Raw genomic sequence first — 23,410 nt, forward strand, 5'->3', positions numbered from 1 at the left:
TATTGCCAATTTTATAAGATTCAGCCTAATGTAGAAGTTAATTCTTAGCAGTTATGATCACAGACCATGTAGATTTTCAATCCAATTTAATTCAATAAAACCTTATTTAACTTCCATTATAGACAATACAATGTGGGTTAAAATCGGTATCACAGTATAGTGGAAAAGACAAATTGTATACAACCAATTCTAATACAAATTAGACAAGTGTTAATGCAGAGGTATAAACAAAGTACTTGGGAAGAAGAAAAAAAGCAATTATTATAGTAATAGAGATTACCTTTGTCTTGCTCTGAATCCTCTACATGTTGATTGCAAAAGGATAATTTTTTTCCTTTGTTCTTGGTACCTTTTACTTTCCCTGTAGGCTTTCCATCTTGCTTGTATGCAAATAGCAGCCATGTGCCTGCGCCTATAGTAATCTCTCCATTTCTGCTGGATAACGATGGCTGCAGCCCGTAACTCCAAGTACCGCTGCCTCTCTAAGTGAGCACGCCAGGAAGCTTGGAGAAGAGCAGCTGCACTAGCCATAACAAAAGCATCCTTCTGCACAGCTGCATCTCTGACTTGCTTCTGATTTAGGTAATTCCTCCAGAATCTCTATGGGGAAGACAAAATAACAGAAACTGGTTGTCATATCTTACACTGCATTTTCACAGGAAAAAAAGAGAATAAATTTCTTATGTCATAATTACAGGTTAAGTGGCTATGCAGCTAAATTCTTGGTGATTAAAAATAAGTTTTCTGGCCAGGTGCGGTGGCTCATGCCTGTAATCCCAGCACTTTTGGAGGCTAAGGCAGGCAGATCATGAGGTCAGGAGATAGAGACCAACCTGGCTAACATGGTGAAACCCCGTCTCTACTAAAAATACAAAAAAAATTAGCTGGGCGTGGTGGTGGGTGCCTATAGTCCCAGCTACTCAGGAGGCTGAGGCAGGAGAATGGCGTGAACCTGGGAGCTGGAGCTTGCAGTGAGCAGAATTCACGCCACTGCACTCCAGCCTGGGTGACAGAGTGAGACTCTGTCTCAAAAAAATAAAAATAAAAAAACTAGTTTTCTACAAAAGCAGAAAGTGTACCTGAAAAAGATAAATAGAAAAAAGTTTTCTCTTCCAGATATGTTTGGCTAAAACAGCTATTTTAAATAATATAACCTTGAAGAAGTTAATTACAGAACCTAATTTAAAATTTTTGGATGATTTCATGTCCTTCAAATTATTAGTAACTTTAACATATTATATTCTTTTGTTACAATTTTCCTAAATAACACTAATGGGTTTAAGGTAATCCTGACACACATTCCAAAGATGAAGATACTAAAGATTTTCTTGCACAAATGGAAAAGATCTTATGGAAATGATATAAATCAATGAGGGAGTTAATAAAACAAATAAAATGTAAAATAAGGTACCTATCATCCAAAATGAGTGTCTAAAACCAACGGTATATATACAACTCTCAAACATCACTCCAAAAACTATTAAATAAAAACAACTATGTCAACAAATATTAGGTAACTCCTTAGCCCCTACACAGATCTCACAAGACATTATAACTACAAATTCAATTTAATTTAAATTCAATGGAATCAATATTTATTAATAGTCTATTATATGCCAGATAATCTGTTGGGTGTTATGAGCACTTCAAAATTGGGTACGACATATTCTCATTTCTGAAGTTCACATTATTACTGAAAATGTTTTACAGTAAAAAGGTTCTGGTTACTAAACAAAGGCCAAATAAACTAGTCAATCTCATGCAAAGAATCCTTTGCTTCTCACCTGGATAATAACAGATGCTTGTCTCAGATGGAGGAAATGCTGCCTACACAGCAAGACCCTGAACCATCGCTGCAACAATATGATTCTGCGGAGCACCTCTTGGTGAAGCAGATCTTGTAAGTGCTGTCGTTCCTGCTCCTTTAGAAAGACCTACCAAAAGGAAGAAAGATGAGGAATGCAGCTTAAGAAGAAATGAGAAATTTATTTCATGAATCATCCTTTCTGTGATAAGCTTTTAGAGAAGAACAAACACAGTGGCAGGCATGTAAATGAAGTACTGATAAATATTCCTACAGATTTATCCAAAGTAGTCATTCTCAAATTGAAATGGAGATAGTAGAATACGGAAGGTGAGCTGGGTGTGGTGCTACATGCCTATACTCCTAACTACTGAGAAGGCTGAAACAGGAAGTTTGCTGAAGCCCAGGAGTTCCAGTTCTACGGCAAAATAGAGAGACCTGGTCTCCAAAAAAAAAAAAGACAAAAAAAGGAAGGTAAGGAAGGGAGGAAGGGAGGGAAAAATGACAAGGTGAGCAAGAATATCAAAATTCCAGTGCCAGAGATTATGATACATTAGTCCATTGGGGAAACCACTGCTATGAGTAAATGTATTACTGGTAATAAGTCATATTTTTCAAGCGTGTTGGGATGGGGAAAAAAGTTGAAAACCATAGATCTTGAAGCTTGAATCATATAATGAATAAACCAATGATAACAGTCTTTTTGAAATCCAGCGTGCATTAAAAGCTTCTCACTGTCCAAAGTTATTAATAAGTTTATTTTATTTACTCCTTCATTCCACTAATGTTTAGGGTTTGTGAGGCTGCAAAGGTGAAGGAGACATATCCCTTTAGAAACAGGAATTATACCTCTCATTTGAGAGCAGGTAGATATTATATACCCGAAGAGGAAGATGGTAAACTAATAAGGGCCAGAGACAAAAGATCCCACCTGAGTAACACAGAGAGTTGAAAATAATAATAAAGGCATGCACAGGAGACAACGGGACAATTAATCTCCATAAAAAAGATATTAAGTAATGTGAAGCCACAATATGAAGGTTCTCAAAAAAGAGAAAGATGTTTGGATTTAATGAGGAGGTTATCAGGAGGTTATTATCAAGCAGGAGGCAGACATAAAGAACTAAGTATATTAAGATAATAATTTTAATATTATGAGTAGAATAAATTAAATGGAATGACAAATATACTAGAATCAGATAAGTAAGCTGTTCACTGTATAAGCAATGTAGATGAGAAGAGATAAGGAATAAAAATAAAATGGAAGCAGTAGTAATGGAGAAACAGAAAGCGATGTAAGAATCTCTTTGTAAAAGGAAAAAAAATCCCTAAAACTTTGTGAAAGGATTAAAGTGAACGGTATGCCAAAGACAATTATGGTTTCTAGACTGAGAAACTGGAAAAAGGGTGACAGAGAAAGAAAGTATTTGATAAATTTAAGAACAGATGAATCTGGATATGGTCACCTTGGGCAAGCTGGCTTGGAGATTACAGTAGAGTATCTATGGAGAGATGATTTTTAGGCAGTTAAAATTATAGTCAGAACTAGAGCACTGGCCAGAGCTCTGTGATTAATATTGACTACATAATTAAATAAAAACCTGGGCCTAACCAATTGTCTTCTGATATCTGATTCACTATCTTTTTAATAAACAATCTCATAGGCAAAAATTATTATTTTTTAAATAAATGCACTCAATTTTGACCAGAGCTATACAGATTATATTTACCATGGTTTTTCCAACTTGATAATTATCTGGATTAAGATTTATTTTCCTGAAGAAATCCTGAATGTTAAATTTGGATGGAATAATATTTCGGGGAAGAAGTACATGGAAGTGGCTCACAAAATCCTGAAAAATAATTTAAAAATATTGTAAAATCAGAAAACAGTGTATGTAAACAAGACCTTAAACTAATTATCATTCTATTAATCTTTTCTCTTTCTTTTAAACAGGGTGAAACCAAGACGTGCATGTTAATTTAAGATATGATAAAAGGTTAATTCGGAAAACATAGGAGGTGGAGAAAGATATTGGGTTCTACATATCATGACATCAAAAGGGAATGAGAGAAAAAAAAGGCAGAGGCTAATTATCCCTTTTGAGAAAGCTTTATAAAAGACCAAAGAAAAGGGTATTTAACAAGACCCTAAAATTTCTATCAGGAAAAAAAAAGCAAACGTGGCAGGATGGGGACAGGGTATCACTGAGAATGAGGCTTTCCGTCCCAGTAACAGCAAAGACTTGCTCAGTTGCTGAACAGCTTCAATATAGTTTCCATACCCATAGCAGCAATTGCTGATACGAGTAGCTGTGAGCCTTGCTGGCAGCTTACTATGAAAGAAAATCCTGCTGAGAAAACTTTAGGGAAAACCAAATAGAATCTTTTCACTAGATAATTCTCATTGAACTATTTCAGTTACTGGAGAGGTCAGTGCAAAGAATTGTTATATCAGGAGTAAATTTAGTATTAGCAAACATTCCGAGCAAATGAGAATAGCCAAGTACTGGATTCTATTACAATAAGCTTAATGAGATTGCTGCCATTCAATCAAAGTAAATACTGTCTATCCCTTTTCAATTCCGTATACAAAACGTGAAATGGAAAGGAAGAATTAAGGAAAATAAGTAAGCCCCAAAGAAATAATAAGCAAGATATGTGGGAATCATTTACTTGATGTGTCTAAATATGTAAATATCACTATAAAAACAGAACCTGGAAAGAATATTTGGAGCTGTATCCTGATTGGCGAATTCGAACTGTTTCCAGCATCCCGGTGTATCGAAGCTGTCTAAGTACCAAGACATCACTGAACCTTAAGGGCAGCTAAAGCAAATGGAAAAAAGATTAACCCAGAACAGTAGATCTCCAAATTAATTATCTGTTTATAAGCATGACTAACTGTTGAGTATCTAGAGATTGACTGGAGGTTGTCTGGTTAACATATACAGTAACTAAGTATATTAAGGCAAGCTCACCTCTCAGCTGGTAGCTTCAGAAAAGTTCTGACTGCCCAACCCTAGGGAAAAGAGAGAAACCAAGCTTCCAGGCTTCTCTGGTTGTGAAGAGAGAGGACCTTAAAGGCTCAAAAAGAATGTAGTCACCCACAGAGGCCACATAGTCCAATCACTACAAAATCTGTAACAAGATAACCTACAACTGGGTGTAGTGGCTCACGCCTATAATCCTAGCACTTTGGGAGGCCAAGGTGGGCTGATCACCTGAGGTCAGGAGTTCAAGACCAGCCTGGCCAACATGGCAAATCCTTGTCTCTACTAAAAATACAAAAATTAGCCGGGCGTGGTGGTGCACACCTGTAGTCCCAGCTACTCAGGAGGCTGAGGCAGGAGAACTGCTTGAAACCAGGAGGCGGAGATTACAGTGAGCTGAGATCATGCCACTGCACTCCAGCCTAGGTGACACAGTGAGACTCTGCCTCAAAACAAAAACAAAAACAAAAAAGAAAATTCTTTTCTGACAGGACTTCAAGAGGTATTTGCTTCTCAAATTCTGGGTGATGCTAAATCAAATCCAAATAAACACCTTACAGGCAGGGAAGTGTGGAAAAATCCATTTAAAGTGTTTATAACATACTATTTTCCTTATAAATATTATAGTTAGTGCTTCCCCTCCACTTATTCTGCTTAAAAGTATTTAAAGCTCAGTTTGAAGTAAGCTGAGATATGTGCTCTCATTTATAGGACATTTTTACCTTTTCAGCATTAGAGCGAATGCATTTTACAAAATATGGTTCTGCTTGACCAAGTGTTTCCATTAGCTTGCTTAATGATGCCTGCAACAGAAAGCAATATAATTATCATACTCTTCCATTCCAAACTATTAACAAATAATTTATAACTATAATCAACATGCTGGCAAAACATTCAAAAAGTAGAGGTACACATAGAAAGAGGTTTTTGAAAAGCACATTGTGTATATTCTCATACTGGTTAAATTATGGATAATTAAGGATAAAGATGGTAGTTTAATATTAAAGCAGATAGCCTGGAAATAGTAAATATTGCAGATGTTTTCAGAACAATCAAATATAGAATTTTTTTCACTTTTCTTCACATTTCATCAAACAATTTTATTCAAACTCATGTATCCTACAACTTTTAAAATGATTCAGGAGGGTATCCAGTAAGGTAGTAAGCCCTTGCTTTACTTTAAATGTCTACAAAGTATGTAATGATATCCCTTTTTTTATTCCTGATAATGGTAATTTGCACATTCTCTCTTTCTTCCTGATTAGTGGCTAGAAATTTATCAACTTTTTGATTTGCTCAGCCCAGGCATGGTGGCTCACGCCTATAATCCCAGCATTTTGGAGGGCCAAGGAGGGCAGGATCACCTGAGGTCAGAAGTTTGAGACCAGCCTGGCCAACATGGTGAAACCCCATCTCTACTAAAAAATACAAAAATTAGCCAGGCGTGGTGGTGCCCGGCTGAGGCATGAGAATTACTTAAACCTGGGAGGTGGAGGTTGCAGTAAGCCAAGATGGTGCCACTGCACTCCAGCCTGCGCAACAAAGTGAGACTCTGTCTCAAAAAAAAAAAAAAAAAAAAAAAAAATTTGGATCTGCTTAAAGAACCAGCTTTTGGTGTCAGTGTTTTGTCTATTTTTCTGTTTTTCATTTCATTGAATTCTGCTGTTATCTTTATTATTTACTTTTCTCTGCTTGTATTGGGTTTCATATATTCTTTTTATAGTTTATCGAGGTAGAAATTTAGATTATTGAATTGAGACATATCTCCTTTTCTAATAAAAGCATTTAGTGCTATAAATTAACCTTGGAGCACTGCTTTAGCTGCATTGCACAAATTTTGATATTTCATTCTATTTAAAATATTATAAAATTTTCCTTCCTCTAAAATATGTATTATTTAGAAGTCGCTTTTACATATTCTAAATATTTGGGGATTGATGTCTTTCTTTGATTTCTGGTTTAATTCTATTATAAATACAACATTTTGTATGATTTTAACTCAAAATTGTTAAGGTTTTATGGCCTAGTTTACGATCTACCTTGGCAAGTATTTCATGGGCACTTAAAATAAATGCATATTCTGCAATTGTTGGCTAGGGTGTTCTACAAATTTCAGTTAGGTCAAGTAGGTTAATTGTTCTATTTAAGTCTTCCATATCCTTCCTAATTGCCTACTTACCCTGTCAATTACCAAGAGGTATGCTGAAGTTTCCAAGCATAACTGCAGATTTGTCCATTTTTCTTTTAATTCTATCAGTTTTTGGTTCAGATATTTGGGAGTTCTGTTATTAGATGAATATACATGTAAGACTTGGTAAATTGCACCTTTTATCACTATGAAATTATCTCCCTTTATCCTTGGTAATTTTCTCTGTTCTGAAGTCTACTTTGTCTGACTCTACTATAGTCACTATAGCTTTCTTTTGGTTTTTGTTCGCATGGTTTATTTTTTTTCATTTTTTAACCCTTTAGTATCATTGTATTTAAAGAGGTTTCTTGTAGATAACATACAGTTAGGTCTTATTTTATCCAATCAGATAATATCCATTTCTTTCTTTTTTTTTTTTTTTTTTTTCCTGAGACAGTGTCTCGCTCTGTCACCCAGGCTGGAATGCAGTGGCACGATCTCGGCCTACTGCAAGCTCTGCCTCCCGGGTTCACGCCATTCTCCTGCCTCAGCCTCCCGATTAGCTGGGACTACAGGCCCCACCACCACACCCGGCTAATTTTTTTTTTCTTTTTTTTTTTTATTATTATACTTTAAGTGTTAGGGTACATGTGCACAATGTGCAGGTTAGTTACATATGTATACATGTGACATGCTGGTGCGCTGCCCCCACTAACTCGTCATCTAGCATTAGGTATATCTCCCAATGCTATCCCTCCCCCCTCCCCCTACCCCACAACAGTCCCCAGACTGTGATGTTCCCATTCCTGTGTCCATGTGATCTCATTGTTCAATTCCCACCTATGAGGGAGAATATGCGGTGTTTGGTTTTTTGTTTTTGCGATAGTTTACTGAGAATGATGATTTCCAATTTCATCCATGTCCCTACAAAGGACATGAACTCATCATTTTTTATGGCTGCGTAGTATTCCATGGTGTATATGTGCCACATTTTCTTAATCCAGTCTATCATTGTTGGACATTTGGGTTGGTTCCAAGTCTTTGCTATTGTGAATAGTGCCGCAATAAACATACGTGTGCATGTGTCTTTATAGCAGCATGATTTATAGTCCTTTGGGTATATACCCAGTAATGGGATGGCTGGGTCAAATGGTATTTCTAGTTCTAGATCCCTGAGGAATCGCCACACTGACTTCCACAATGGTTGAACTAGTTTACAGTCCCACCAACAGTGTAAAAGTGTTCCTATTTCTCCACATCCTCTCCAGCACCTGTTGTTTCCTGACTTTTTAATGACTGCCATTCTAACTGGTGTGAGATGATATCTCATTGTGGTTTTGATTTGCATTTCTCTGATGGCCAGTGATGGTGAGCATTTTTTCATGTGTTTTTTGGCTGCATAAATGTCTTCTTTTGAGAAGTGTCTGTTCATGTCCTTCACCCGCTTTTTGATGGGGTTGTTTGTTTTTTTCTTGTAAATGTGTTTGAGTTCATTGTAGATTCTGGATATTAGCCCTTTGTCAGATGAGTAGATTGCAAAAATTTTCTCCCATTTTGTGGGTTGCCTGTTCACTCTGATGGTAGTTTCTTCTGTTGTGCAGAAGCTCTTTAGTTTAATTAGATCCCATTTGTCAATTTTGGCTTTTGTTGCCATTGCTTTTGGTGTTTTAGACATGAAGTACTTGCCCATGCCTATGTCCTGAATGGTAATGCCTAGGTTTTCTTCTAGGGTTTTTATGGTTTTAGGTCTAACGTTTAAGTCTTTAATCCATCTTGAAATGATTTTTGTATAAGGTGTAAGGAGGGGATCCAGTTTCAGCTTTCTACATATGGCTAGACAGTTTTCCCAGCACCATTTATTAAATAGGGAATCCTTTCCCCATTGCTTATTTTTCTCAGGTTTGTCAAAGATCAGATAGTTGTAGATATACAGCGTTATTTCTGAGGGCTCTGTTCTGTTCCATTGATCTATATCTCTGTTTTGGTACCCGGCTAATTTTTTTTTGTATTTTTAGTAGAGACGAGGTTTCACCGTGTTAGCCAGGATGGTCTCAATCTCCTGACCTCGTGATCTGCCTGCCTCGGCCTCCCAAAGTGCTGGGATTACAGGCGTGAGCCTGTGCCCGGCCGATAATATCCATTTCTTAATTGGACTGTTTAGAGCATTTACATTGTTAATAATTAGTATGATTGGATTTAGGGCTACCAATTTTATTACTGGCCTTCTGTTTGTCCTCTCTCATTTGTTCCTCCCTTCCTCCTCTTACTCCCTGTCTGTTTAAAATAGACTTTTGGAGCAGTTTTAGGTTCACAGCAAAAATGAGCAGAACATAGAATTCCCATATGCCCCTTTACCCTCACATGCACAATTTCCCCTATAATTAACATCTTGCATTAGTGTGTTATATGTGATGAACCAATACTGACATGATTATTAACTACAGTCCATAATATGCATTAGGGTTCACTCTTTATGTTGCACATTCTCTGGGTTTAAACAAATATATAGACATTTATTCACCATTGCAGTATCATACAGATTAATTTGACTAACCTAAAGTCCTCTATGCTCTGCCTACTCATCCTCCCCCAACTAGATCCTGGCGACTACTGATCTTTTTTACTGTCTCCATAGTTTTGTTTTTTCCAGAATGTCATATATTTGGAATCTTATGGTATGTAGCCTTTTCATATTGGCTTCTTTCACTCAGTAATATGTATTTAAGGTTCCTGCAAGCCTTTTCATGGCTTGAAAGCTCATTTCTTTTTAGTGTTGAATAATATTCCATTGTCTGAATGTACCATAGTTTATCCATTCACCTACTGAAGGACATCTTGACTGTTTCCAAGTTTTAGCAATTATGAATAAAGCTGCTATAAATATCTGTGTACAGGTTATTGTGTGGACATAAGTTTTCAACTAATTTAGGTAAATACCAAGAAGTTGTTACTGCTGGATCATATGGTAAAAATATAGTTTATAAGAAACTGTCAAACTGTTTTCCAAAGTGGCTGTACCATTTTGCATTCCCACCACCAATGAATGAGTGTTCCTGTTGCTCCACATTCTCACCAGCATTTGGTGTTGTCATTGTTTTGGACTTCTGCCATTCCAATAGCTGTGCTGTGGTATCTCATTTTTGTTTTAATTTGCAATTCCCTAATAACATATAATGTGGAACATCTTTTCATATGCTTATTTGACATCTGTGTACTTTCTTTGGTGAGGTGCCCCTCCCCTCTGTTCAATATACTTTAGTATTCCATATTAATTTATCTACTTTTCAACTATCTTTGTACTGCATTTTAGTAGCTGCTCTAGGGATTACAATATACAAACCTAACTTGTCACAGTCTACTTACTTAAGAGTCGATATTTCACAAGTTCAAGTAAAACAAAGAAGTCTTACAACTATATATAGACCCCTGTTACTGTTGTGAAATTACATCAACATACAAATTTTTAAACTTTTAACTGTTCGTTTTTCTTGCAAATGCTATTGTAGTATAATATACATAGGGCTTGGCACAGTGTCACATGCCTGTAGCCACAGCTACTTGGGAGGCTGAGGAGGGAGGATAGCTTAAGCCCAGAAGCTGGAGTCCAGCCAGGGCAACATTTTATTTATGAGACTCCGTCTCAAAATAATGATAATAATAATACACATAAAATATTAAAATAATAAGTGTAAATTATGACTTTTTACAAAAGGAAGACATTGTTGTAACTAAAGCCCCAATTTTATATATATACACGTATATATATATACGTATATATATACGTGTATATATACACGTGTATATATATATACGTGTGTGTGTATATATATATACGTGTATATATATATATAAAATCAGAAACTCAGAAGCCCCTTTGTGCCCCATCCCATTGACTTTAGCAAGCTCACTGTACATAAGCTATGTACTCTTATTTCCACACCCCAACCAAGGGTAATTATTATTCTTACTTTTAAGATGATAAGTTAATTTTACCTACTATTAAAGTTCATATGAATGGAAAAATACACCATGTACTATTTTGTATTTGTTGCATACAATTATATTTTGTAAATTTCCAGTGCTGTATATTAGTGATCCATTATTTGGCTATACTGGCTATACTACCATTAAACTATCCATTAAGAGATGAGTATTTCGTTGTTTCCAGTTTATTATGAAAAATTTTGCTATGAACATACTTATACTTGCCTCTTTTAACTGTTTTCCAATATGCTTGTATCAATTTACATTTCAACAGTACCATATAAGGTTCTGAATGCTCCCCAATCTTGCCAACATGTTGTATAATCAGTTTATTTCAGCCATGTTGGCAAGTATGTAACAGTATTGCTTTGTGGTATTAATTGGCATTTCCCTCATGAATAATAATGTTGAACAGGTTTTACATAGGTGTGTTGGCCTTCTGGATATCATCTTTTATAAACTGCCTATTTGAGACTTTTGTCCATTTGTCTATTAGGTTTTCTTCCTTTTAAAACACTGATTTTTAGTTCTTCATATTATACAAGTCCTTTTTTAGTCTTGCTCTTTTTCTTCTTTTAATGGTGACTTTTTTGGTTTAAAGTTTTATTGGAATAAAATCTACATACTATTAAAATATACACATTGTAGTTCACAAATCAATGAGTTTTAGTAAATTTACACAGTTATGCCACTATCACTACAGTCCAGTTTTAGAACTCCTCTATCACCCCCAAAAAACTCCCTCCTGCCCATCTGCAGTCAATAACCACTTGAGAAGCAGCCCCAGGCAACTACCAATCTGCTTCCTGCTGCTATAAACTATCTTTTAAAAAAATACATTCTTTTTTAGATGGCTTTTCCTGTGATTATAAAAGTAATATGTAGCTATTCTAGAACACTTAATACATACATATATGTTCAGAGAATATCAGCTTGGGTTTAATTTGACTAATGACTAAATTCTTAGAGCTATAATTAAAACCAGGTTAATTTCTTCAAACCAATCAGCCTTTTCAAAGGGAATTCATACTTCTACAAGTATGAATTCAATTCAAATATGAAAACAAGCTTAATGTATCCTACATCTTCCTTATACCCACAGTTAGAAGACTCCTAGGGAAGAGAAAAATTTAGGTTTCACCGCTTGAAGAAAGAGTATGTTGACTGTTCACATAACAGCGGATATTTTTCCTAGCAACCTGTGGATCCCTAGGCAGCTGAGTATGGAGAGGAGTAGCAGCTTTACCAGTAAGTTTTAGTAGCTACAACAAGCAACAGCATGTGTATGACTGATTATATTAGGAGAAAGCCACAAAACTTCTTTTAAAAAACTACTAAGTAGAGACATAGTGCTATGAAGTGACCAGACTTTGACATACAGGTCCATGCATAAACATTGCACAGTTCTTTATGATCAAGTTGTATCATCCCAGTCATAACTTAAGGCTTTACCTGCTTTGAAAGTTTGGTGGTCAAAGGGATTGACTCATTAAAATCTAACATTAGCCTGCAGAAGACAAACTCTCAAGAGGGAATGTTTTAGAGTATAGTGAAGGTGGTAATTTACCACAAAAGGCTGAAATAATACAGAAAATATACATTATAGTCTACCATGTTGTTACTTGTTTCTATTTATCAGTCTGAATTTTCTTTTTCCTTTTTTTTATTGAGTATATTTTATGGTTCCATTTTAGTTCAGCTATTACCTTACTAACTGTTAACTCTTTTTTAAAGGATTATTCTAGGATTTGCACCTTTTATCACAGTCTACCTTCAAATAATACTATACCATGTTCTGTATAGTGTAAAAGCTTAACAACACTATATTTCCACTTAGCCCCACTTTAGGTGTTTTGTGATACTTTTATTATATATTTTATTTCTACCTCACAATATACTATTATTTTTGTTTTCTATAGCCAATTATTTTAAAAAGAGAAAAGTTTTTTTTTTTTTTCTTGAGACAGTCTCGCTCTTTTGTCCAGGCTGGAGTGCAGTGGTGCAATCTCAGCTCACTGCAACCTCCACCTCCTGGGTTCAAGCGATTCTCCTGCCTCAGCCTCCCAAGTAGCTGGGATTACAGGCGCCCATCGCCATGCCTGGCTAATTTTTGTATTTTCAGTAGAGATGGGGATTCACCATGTTGGCCAGGCTGGTCTCGAACTCCTGACCTTGGGTGATCTGCCTGCCTCGGCCTCCCAAAGTGCTGGGATTGCAGGTGTGAGCCACCAAGCCTGTCCAAGAAAACATATTTTTAAAATATTAGCCTACATTTCTATCAATCTGCCACTATTCATGTTTTGTGTAAATTCAAACTTCCATGTGGTTTTCCCATCATTTTTCTTCCATGTTTAAAATTTCTGATATTATAGATCTGCTGGTAATAAATTCTCTCAGCTTTTTTGGTCTGAAAATGTCTCTACTTAACCTTAGTTTTTAAAAGATACATTCACCACACATAGAATTCTAGGGTGACTTTTTTTCTCTTTTTGGTCTTTTGAAGCTATCACTCTTGTCTTATGGCTTTGATAGTTTCTGATCATCTTCACTTAGTTACACAAAATGTCTCTTTTCTCCCTCTGGCTAAGTTTAAGATGCTCTCTTTTTAACTGGTTTTAGCAATTTGATATAATGTGTCTTGGTGTGTTTTTGTTTGCTCTGATTGAGGTTTACTGAGATTCTTTGATCTCCGTAGTTTTTTTTTTTTCCATCAAATCAGAAAATATTTTGCTCATTATTTCTTCAAATATATTTTTCTGTGCCCTCCTCCCTTTCATCTCCTGAGATTCCAATTACATCTATGTTAGACTGCATCATATTGCTCCATAAGTTATTGCTATTTTCGTTTTTTTACATCTTTGTTGCTTTCTCTGGGCTTTAATAAACTATGACTTCAAATGTACTACTTCTGAACTGTCTAACCGATGTTAATCCAATTTAGCTTGTTTTTTATTGTCAAATATTACATATTTAATCTCTAAAAGTTCCATTTGAGTCTTTTTCATATCTTCAGTTTTTTCATTTTCATAATACAAATGGCCCTTATTGGTTGCAACAGGCAGTGAAAGACAGGACAGAACAACTCCATCTCCTGAGAAAGCGTCCAGAGACTCTGTCATCACCTTCCAAAATAAAAAATCTATTTTGTTCTTATCATATTCATGTTTTTTGTTATGTCTTTGGGCATATTTAAAAGATACATTATAGCTAATTTGACATTCTTACTATTTACATCATCTCCATCATTTTAAAGTCTGTCTCTGATTATTGATTTTTTTTTCCCCCTTGTTATGGGTTATTTTTTTCCTGACTCTTTGCCTGCCTTGTAATTTCTCATCGGATGTTAGACACTGTGTTTTACATTGTTGGATTTTGTTGTATTCCTTTAAAGAGTGACAAACATTTTTCTTAACATGCTGTTAAGTTACTTAGGATCAGTCTGATTCTTTTAAGACTTAATTTTTAGTTTTGTGAGAGCAGGGCCAGAGCAGCCTTTACATTAGGACTATTTTGGTCCCATTGCTAAAACATTGTCTTTCTGAGGATTCTACCTAATGCCTCATGTAATAAAAGGTCGTTTCACTCTGGCTGATGAGAACAGAACTACTCCTCTAATCCTGTATAAGTACCAGAAATTGTTAGGTCTACAGGATTTAGGTGATTAGAATAATCATTCTTTCCCCAATCTCATGGAATTTTAACTCACATATGCACAGATCAGTAGTCAGCCACAGAGACTCAAGGAGACCCCTCAGCAGATCTCTAGCTCTTTCTCTTCATACAATTTCCTTCTCCTCTTTACTCTGCCTCACAAATTCTAGTTGCCTCTACCTTTCTATCTCCATCTCTTCAATTAGCAAGACCACTGGCATTTGTTTGGGTTTCCTCTTCCTGAGCCGTAGCAAATCATCTTTAGGTGTTAATCTGGGGCTTTCCTCATTTATTTCCCCTATTCTCAGAGATTGGAGTCCCGTAATGCTTACTAATATCTGAAAATATTTGACTCATATCTTTTGTCCAGTTTCTGGTTGTTTATAGCAGAAGGGCAATTCCTATACCAATTAATCCTTTGTGAGTTCTATGGTATCATTTTCATGAAAATAAGCATTCAAGGAAGGGCACAAAGACGGCTGGGTGCCATCCATTTTGACTACCTGCAATTTGGTCATCTGTTACTTGGTTTCCTCACCTTTATAATAAGTATAATAGTAATTATCCTAGAATAATTGGAGAAGAACTTAGACAACACCTATTAGACAATGCATACGTGTAAATTTTTGGCAAAGGGCCTGGAAAACATACCATACATTGGTCATTATCTATGGATGGCAGATGACTTTCACTTGTTCTTACTCATGTATATTTTCTAAATAATCAAAAATTAACTCATTACTTTTGTAATAACTTAATGGCCGATTAGAAATATGAAAGAGGACTCTTTTTCTAAAAATTAAATATAATTCATGAATATAAATTGAGAATATGTAAATTTGGAAGGATTTTAAAAGACACAATAGGATTGTGATTATAACTAAGTTTTTATTGTACTAGCTATATGGTATTCTTCAGATTAAAGAATGATTTTGGTATACATGGCACCTGTAAAAGATCCAAGGTAACAAAACACTTAACAGCTTAATAATTCTACCTTTCATAATCACGAGATTAATGTTCCCTTTTCAGACACTGAGCTCACCAAAGTACTTTTTGACCAGAATTTGGCTTCCCATGTGGATTTGCTAATCAGGAAAAAAATATGCTAATAAACTAAAAAATTGTATTAAGTCTGCTTATGACTCATATTTATGTTGTATATTAATAAACTTATATTACTCAACATGATTTTTTTTTCTATAACCCATTAATCTTTGCATTTCTAATCTACAAAGTGAACATCCAGACTCTGGATTGTGAGGACAGAAGCAAGGTAAAGACAGACTTCCCCAAGCACTATCTTCTCATTCTTCCCAACCAAATGCCATTAACCCATATGATTATTAGGAAGGATTTTTAAAATTCATGGCAGTGATTTCATTATACTCAATTCCCTTTCCTTTAAGCTTATTTGCACATAATGAGTTATTTGGCTCCTTGGTCTTGCTTTTTCATTTCTTTTTTTTTTTTTTTAAAGAGAAAGGATGTGACCAAATAGCCTGCACAGATTCAAATTTTTCTTTAGGCCCATGGTGAGAATTACCTAAAATAAAATGACATTTCTAGCCCACAATTTGAAGAACTGTGCTTATAAATCAAACAAGATCATATACAATGATACATTAGTAGATAGCTTATGTTCAAACATCCTAGCTGCAAAAGAAGCATTTTAAAAAGTGTTAACATATACAGATACACCTATCATGAATAAGGAAATTTTTATACAACAGTGAACACTGCTTCTGTGATATAAACATGAAATAGGGTAAAATTATGCAAAGCATTTGTTACCTACCAGATATTTTGCTTACTTTCATAAATATCTACCAAATGAAAAGATCTTAGGAGATAGATGATTTGAGAAGAATGGAAGAGGCAATTTAAAAAGGAATTTGAAAAAATTATTCTGGAAGAAATTTGGTTAACTATTATCATATTTATTCCTAAAAGCCCCAAAAAAGAACTGGATTTCTATTTATACAAAGGTAAAATAAATACACAGGAAAAAAACCTTCAGCCTCATTTAGTTAACTATTGATGGTAGCAGCATGAGGTTTAAGCAGGGAAAAAAACATATATCATTATGCTAACAGTGACATTATCTAAGCAGCAGGGTTTAAAGGCAGATTTGTTTATAACATCAATTTTCTGCTTTCTCCTCACACTGAAAATAACAAATATTGAGATATCCATTATCCAGACATATGTGGATGAAAAACAAAGGCATCTGACTTTTTTTTTTTCATCTTTGGTTCTTTTTTCCAAAATGATCAGTAATATATGGCTTTTTAGTCACATAAATTAAAATCCCATTCAAGTACCCTGCAGATCACTTTAACCTTTCAATGACAATCTGAAAGATACAGATTCTTATTTGTTTTAAGCGAAACAAGAAATAACCTGAAACTGGGCACTGATGCTGGGAGGTTTTTTCTTCTTGTGTAAATGAAGAAGAGACTTGGTAATGCGATCTTGTAGTGTCAGTCTTGTCAGGTGCTTTAAAGAATTTACTTCTAGCAAGTGCTGAAAGAAGAGAAAAAATAAATTGCTCACATAAATTAATCTAACAATAAGCCAAAATTCTCAGCCAGTTTTCATCATTTCCTATCTATATGACCATTTCCCATCTTAAATGACTGTAGTGAATATGAAAGACTGATATCCAACATTCATTCTATTCTCCTGTCTTCCTCTAGAAGCTAGAAAGCTAAAAAGAAAAGTACACTTCACAAACTCTCTTGCATCTAGAGTTCTGGATATGGTTTAAGTTTACTAATAAAAGGCCCACATGTGAAACTGGGAAGGTATAACTGAGGCAGAGGCTCTGGCTACTAGTTCTGCTTCTGCTAGCAAAAATGCATATACTTTATGTACCTTTTTTCTGTGGTTCCAGCATCCAGGCACTAGTTTTGTAAATGCTCAGAGGCAGAGTGCAGAACATTTGTGTTGTCATCACAACTATACTAAATGCAGCTTAGCCCTGGAGCAAATAGTTGTAGCAGTTTCTTCCAGATGGCTAGATTACACCACAGGCAGTATGTACCGCAAGTAGCAGCTGCACTGACAGCTTCCTGATTTCCTAGCTTTCTAATTACATTTAGGGACATTTCTGCAAATGTTATTTTAACATGTGACTTCTAATGATTTTATAAGTGCCTGCTTAATTCCCTTTCTACTTAAAAATATCTACTGTAATTACTGTTATCTCAATCCTGACTCACAGAGACAACAATTAAATACCAGGGCGACAGTCGGTGTGCCAGGGACATACACAAAAACCAAGTAGGCTGGGCACAGTGGCACACGCCTGTAATCCCAGCACTTTGGGAGACTGAGGTGGGCGGGTCACGAGGTCAGGAGTTTGACATCAGCCTGGCTAACACAGTGAAACCCCGTCTCCACTAAAAATACAAAAATTAGGCAGGCATGGTGGCACGTGCCTGTAGTCCCAGCTACTCGGGAGGCTGAGGCAGGAGAACTGCTTGAACCCGGGAGGCAGAGGCTGCAGCGAGCCAAGATTGAGCCACTGCACACCAGCCCGGGCAACAGTGAGAGACTCTGTCAAAAACAAAAAACAAAAAAACCAAAGCATAGTCCCTATTAACCCTCATCATGATGTACTACACTAAAAATTAGGAAAATGGGAGTTAGACATGAAGCAACTAAAGTATACAAAGTAAAGACAGTACAAGTATTTGGGAGCTTTTTGAGCCAATCATAATTTTTTAAACCACACAATATTTATGGTAGTGAGTTTGTAAATGAAAAGAATATATCTATACAGATGTAAACTATATGTTATTTAAAAAGTAATCAAAAATCTTAATGTATGAGAAACAAAAGATTGTGTTAAAAACATGACAAATTTTCAAGTCTAAAGGTATCTATTTTGACAATATAAACATTAATAAAACCATGCAAATTGAAAGAAGTACAACACACATGTAAACAATCTGAATTAAGGAAATGTTATTTCCTACAAATGAAAAGGCTTATCATCTGTATGTAAAAAAAAAACTTTTAAAAATTCTTAAAAAGACAGATATCACAATAAAAGAAAGGGCAAAGATTATCTGACAAGGCAATTCTCAAAGTAAAAATGGCAAGTAACAAAACCACAATCCATTCAATCTCACTTGTATTGAAGGAAAATGCCATTTCTTTTAAAAGAGGTTTTCTGCATCAGATTGGCCAATACAATAAAGACTGACAAGAGCCAGTATTCATGAGGTGGTGGGGAAACAGACATATACTATATACTCACTGTTCTTAGGAATGTAAATTATTATAACTTTCCTGACAAGAAATTTCACATCTAGATATTTATTCTAAGGAGTTATCAAACAAATCTATGTTGTTTATAACAATATACTTCAAAAAATAATGAAAAATTATAGATATGCAATTATATAGAATTATTTATATAAAGTATGCTTCATTTACACAACTGAGTACTCCACAGCTCATAAAGTTACTGTAAATCTGTATTTCCTGACATGGGAAAATATTTGTAAGCACTATTGATCAAAAAAAAAGCCATGTAAAACAACACACATGTAAAAAGGGCATTTGTGCTAATTAGAAAGTTTTTGTTTTACTTTTATTGGCACTTTTGAATTATCACAGCTTCACGGTATGTATATTCATGAAAAGTAATTTTTCATACTGGTCAAGAATCAATTAGAATAATTTATAGGTTACCCTTATGTGAAAACAAATTAGCATTGAAGCCTAAAATAATTCCCCCACTTCCACTTTTAAGATACTATGGAGAAAAAGACCTTGGAAATAAAGTTTGAGTTTAAATTGTTTTTCACTATGAAAAAAACACCAGAGGGACTATGCAAAATAAAATAACTATTAGAAAATCTTTGCTGTCATGTATATTGCAAAAGTTTGAAAAACCAAACATGACATTCATTTCTGCCTCAGAGTCATTCCAATTTTTTTCATTTGCTTGGAATACTCTATAGCCGGGCCCTCACAAGACTTGGTTTTACTTGGCACTGAATTTGTAGTTTAAATGTAACTTTCTCAGAAAACTCTTGCTTAAATACTGAAAAAATAGCCCACTTCTATGTCAATTACATGTCACTTAATTTTCAACACTGCACATAATATCATCTAAATTATTTTTTCATTTATTTGTTAATTTGTATATTGTCTTCTTTTTCTCTAAAAAATAACCTCCTGCAGTGCCACGCACTGTGGCTCAGGGCTATAATCCGAGAACGGCTGAGGCAGGCAGATCACCTGAGCTCAGGAGTTGGAGACCAGCCTGGGCAACATGGCAAGGCTTCATGCCTACTAAAAGTACAAAAATTAGCCAGGCGTGGTGGCGAGTGCCTGCGGTCCTAGCTATTCGGGAGGTGGAGATAAGGGAGGATTGCTTGAGCTCAGGGGGCAGAGGCTGCAGTGAACCAGGATCGCACCACTGCACTCCAGCCTGGGTGACAGAGCGAGACACTGACTCAAAAAACAAAAAATAAATAAGAGATAACCTCCCAAAGGATTCTAACTGTACTGTGCATCCCTGTACCCTCAATTTCTAAAATACTGTCTGGTTTAGAGTAGGATTCAATAAATATTAGTTTGAATGAATTAAATACCTAGCAACTGGCCAGGCGTGAGGAGGCCGAGGAGAGTGGATCACCAGAGGTCAGGAGTTCGAGACCAGCCTGGCCAACATGGCGAAACCCCATCTCTACTAAAAATACAAAAAATTAGCAAGGCATGGTGACAGGCGCCTATAATCCCAGCTACTCGGGAGGCTGAGGCAGAAGAATCGCTTGAACCCAGGAGGCAGAGGTTGAAGGGAGCTGAGATCGCACCACTGCACTCCAGCCAGGGCGACAGAATAAGACTCCATCTCAAAAAAAAAAAAAAAAAAAAAGCTAGCAACTAATGAACTTTGAGCAATGCTTTCCCTAGCAAGTGGAGACCAGACTTCTTCCCATATACCTAACAATAACCTGGTCAATCAACAAATGTTCAGAGTCATTACTAAAGGTCAGACTCTGTTGTAAGTGCTAAGGATACATTGCATTCAAGTCCAGGCTATTAGGACATTAAAAAATAATTCAATCATGCATAAGGTTTATGAAAAAAAGATAAAATAGGACCGTAAATCTAGAGGTAAAGGGATACAGAATTATTTCCTTTCTTAGGGCTTCAGTTCCTTGTCTACTTCATTCCTTTCTTAATTCCATCATTATGGTTGAGTTTATTAAGCTTAATTAACCAGTTTATTATTTTTTTCAACAATTATCTACCACTTGCTGTGCAAGGTGCTGTAGGCAAAAAGATTAATGAGATATTGCTTGAATATAGTCTAACTGTTTTGAGTCTCCCAAAATTCATATATTGAAACCTAATCCTGGTGTGATAGTATTAAGAGGCGAAGGGGAGGGGCCCTTGGGAAGTAGCTGGGTAGTGGTATTAGTACCTTGATAAAAGAGGCCCAAAAGAGCTGCCATGTTAAAACACATAGAAGGTATCATTCCATGAGGAATGAACCATCACTAGACATCAACTCTGAAAACTTGATTTTGAAATTCCCTGCCTCTTACACTGTAATATATTTCTTTTGTTTATAAATTACCCAATCTAAAACATTTTATCATAGCAGCCCAAACAAACTAAGGCATTTCTCATGTTATTAAAAAGGACTAAAATGGCTAATAAAATTAACTTCAAGGTTGGGCACAGTGGCTCACACCTGTAATCCCAGCACTTCGGAAGGCTGAGGTGAGCAGATCACTTGAGGCCAGGAGTTGGAAACCAGTGAGGTCAATATGGCAAAACCCTGTCTCTAGTGGAAAAAAAAAAATAGCCGGGCATGGTGACGCATGCCCGTCATCTCAGCTACTTGGGTGGCTGGGGCACAAGAACTGCTTGAACCCAAGAGGCAAGCGGTCAGCAAAAATCGTGCCACTGCACTCCAGCCTAGGTGACAGAGTGAGACTTTGTCTCAAAAAAATAATAACTTCAAGATTTGAGCCCAAGTGACTATAAAAACGTACTAGGGGAGCAACACAGTAAAATTAGTTTGAGCATGAATTTTGAGACAAGGAAGATATCAAAGTACAAATATATAACTGGACAATGAAGCTGTCACTAAAACAATGTAACTAAAAAAAATAGGTCATGTTAGAAAAGTAGATCTAATACAGGTGACAGTTTCAAGTTAGGAGGGAATAAATTCTAACAAGAAAAATGGGAAAGTATTACCAAAACAGAGCTATCATCTTGTGGAAGGACGAACTTGAGTTCATGAAAGCTGCCTCTGCATTTCAAGTGGATGCTTGTCTGAAGCAAACTAGGCTAACTTGTTATCCAAAAGGGAAGAGCTGTGTGTCATCTCAGAGTCATAGTTGTACAAACTAAGTGCTGACTGTGGCTCCTGTCAAGAGGTTTGATGGAAAGGCTCCCTGTAATAACAAGGATCTCAGATCATTTTGACTTATCCTGCAAAACCCAACCTAGATGTCATCCCTTCCACCCACTCCTTCTCCCGCACTCCATCCCTACCTAACTCATCCCTACTTCTTAAATAGAGAACTTAGTCTGAGACGAAATTAGTGAGTTGAGGATATTTGGCCTCCTACTATATACTCAAAAAATTCCTCAGGATAGGGATATATCTTATCTAGCATAGCCTGTGTAAACAGGAGATATTTTTAATAAAAAGTTGAAATGAATTAAAAGTAGTAAGAAGTTTAAAAGATATATATTCAATAAGTAAAAAGGTCAAAAAGTTAGTATGAGTCTAAATTCCTTTCCCTCAATGATCTTTTTTCCAATAGCTTTACTGAAACAAAATAAGCTGCACGTATTTAATGTATACACTATAAGTTATGACATATTTACATAGCTATGAAGCCATCACCACAATCATGATAATGAACATATCCATAGCCCCTAATGCTTTCTTTGTTCCTTCTCTCACTTTGCAAGTCCTCTCTTTTCCCTAAACACTGCATGCTGCTTCCTGGCAATCTTTTTCTACTTTTTTTTTTATTTTTTGAGCATGGAGTCTCACTCTGTCGTCCAAGCTGGAGTGCAGTGGCGCGATCCTGGCTCACCGCAACCTCCGCCTCCCAGGTTCAAGCAATTCTCCTGCCTCAGCCTCCTGAGTAGTTGAGACTACAGGCACGTGCCACCACGCCCAGCTAATTTTTTGTATTTTTAGTAGACACAGGGTTTCACCATGTTGCCCAGGCTGGTCTCGAACTCCTGAGCTCAGGCAATCTGCCCACCTTGGCCTCCCACAGTGCTGGGATTACAGGCGTGAGCCACCGCACCCAGCCTCTGGCAATCTTTAATCTACTTTAGGTCACTGTATATTTTTGGTTTTTCATCTTTTTTAAAATGATGAATAATAATTGTATATATTTATGGGGCACAATGTGATATTATGACACATGTATACATTGAGTAGTGATTAAATCAGGCTAAATAAAATATCTCACATACTTATTTCTTTGCGGTGAGATCACTTGAAATTTACTTGTACAGCAACTTTGAAATATATAATACATTATTATGAACCATATTCAACTTGCTACACAAAAGATCACTAGAACCTGTCTAACTGAAACATTATCCTTTGACCAGTGTTGTCCCTTTCCCTTTCCCACCCTTATACCCCAAACCTTTGGGAATCAAAACTCTATTATATACTGCTATGAGTTTGGCTTTTTGTTGTTGTTATGGTTAAAAGAAACCTTTTATTTAAAAACAATATGACATTTTAATTTTAATTAGCATTCATTAAGTAGCCAGTTTTTAATTCCTGGGGAGCAAATATGTACAAATATCAAGCACTAAATAATTGATAATTACTAA

At 35.9% G+C, this 23,410-nt stretch overlaps 1 protein-coding gene across 50 annotated transcripts in view; it reads right to left on the reverse strand.

Annotated features, from left to right (window-relative positions):
* MYO9A (myosin IXA) overlaps positions 1 to 23,410 on the reverse strand; it is a 296,310-nt gene that overhangs the window by 77,116 nt on the left and 195,784 nt on the right. For all 50 annotated transcript variants that reach the window (XM_047432576.1, XM_047432553.1, XM_047432585.1 and 47 more), the window contains 6 exons: positions 16,964 to 17,086; positions 5,520 to 5,600; positions 4,523 to 4,633; positions 3,535 to 3,657; positions 1,785 to 1,934; positions 281 to 600 (listed from right to left, as the gene is read on the reverse strand). In XM_047432576.1, coding sequence (XP_047288532.1) covers positions 281 to 600; positions 1,785 to 1,934; positions 3,535 to 3,657; positions 4,523 to 4,633; positions 5,520 to 5,600; positions 16,964 to 17,086 — 908 coding nt within the window. The remainder of the gene's footprint in view (positions 1 to 280; positions 601 to 1,784; positions 1,935 to 3,534; positions 3,658 to 4,522; positions 4,634 to 5,519; positions 5,601 to 16,963; positions 17,087 to 23,410) is intronic.

This window comes from Homo sapiens, chromosome 15 (assembly GCF_000001405.40).
Source record: "Homo sapiens chromosome 15, GRCh38.p14 Primary Assembly".
In the NCBI taxonomy this organism is placed as follows: Eukaryota; Metazoa; Chordata; class Mammalia; order Primates; family Hominidae; genus Homo; species Homo sapiens.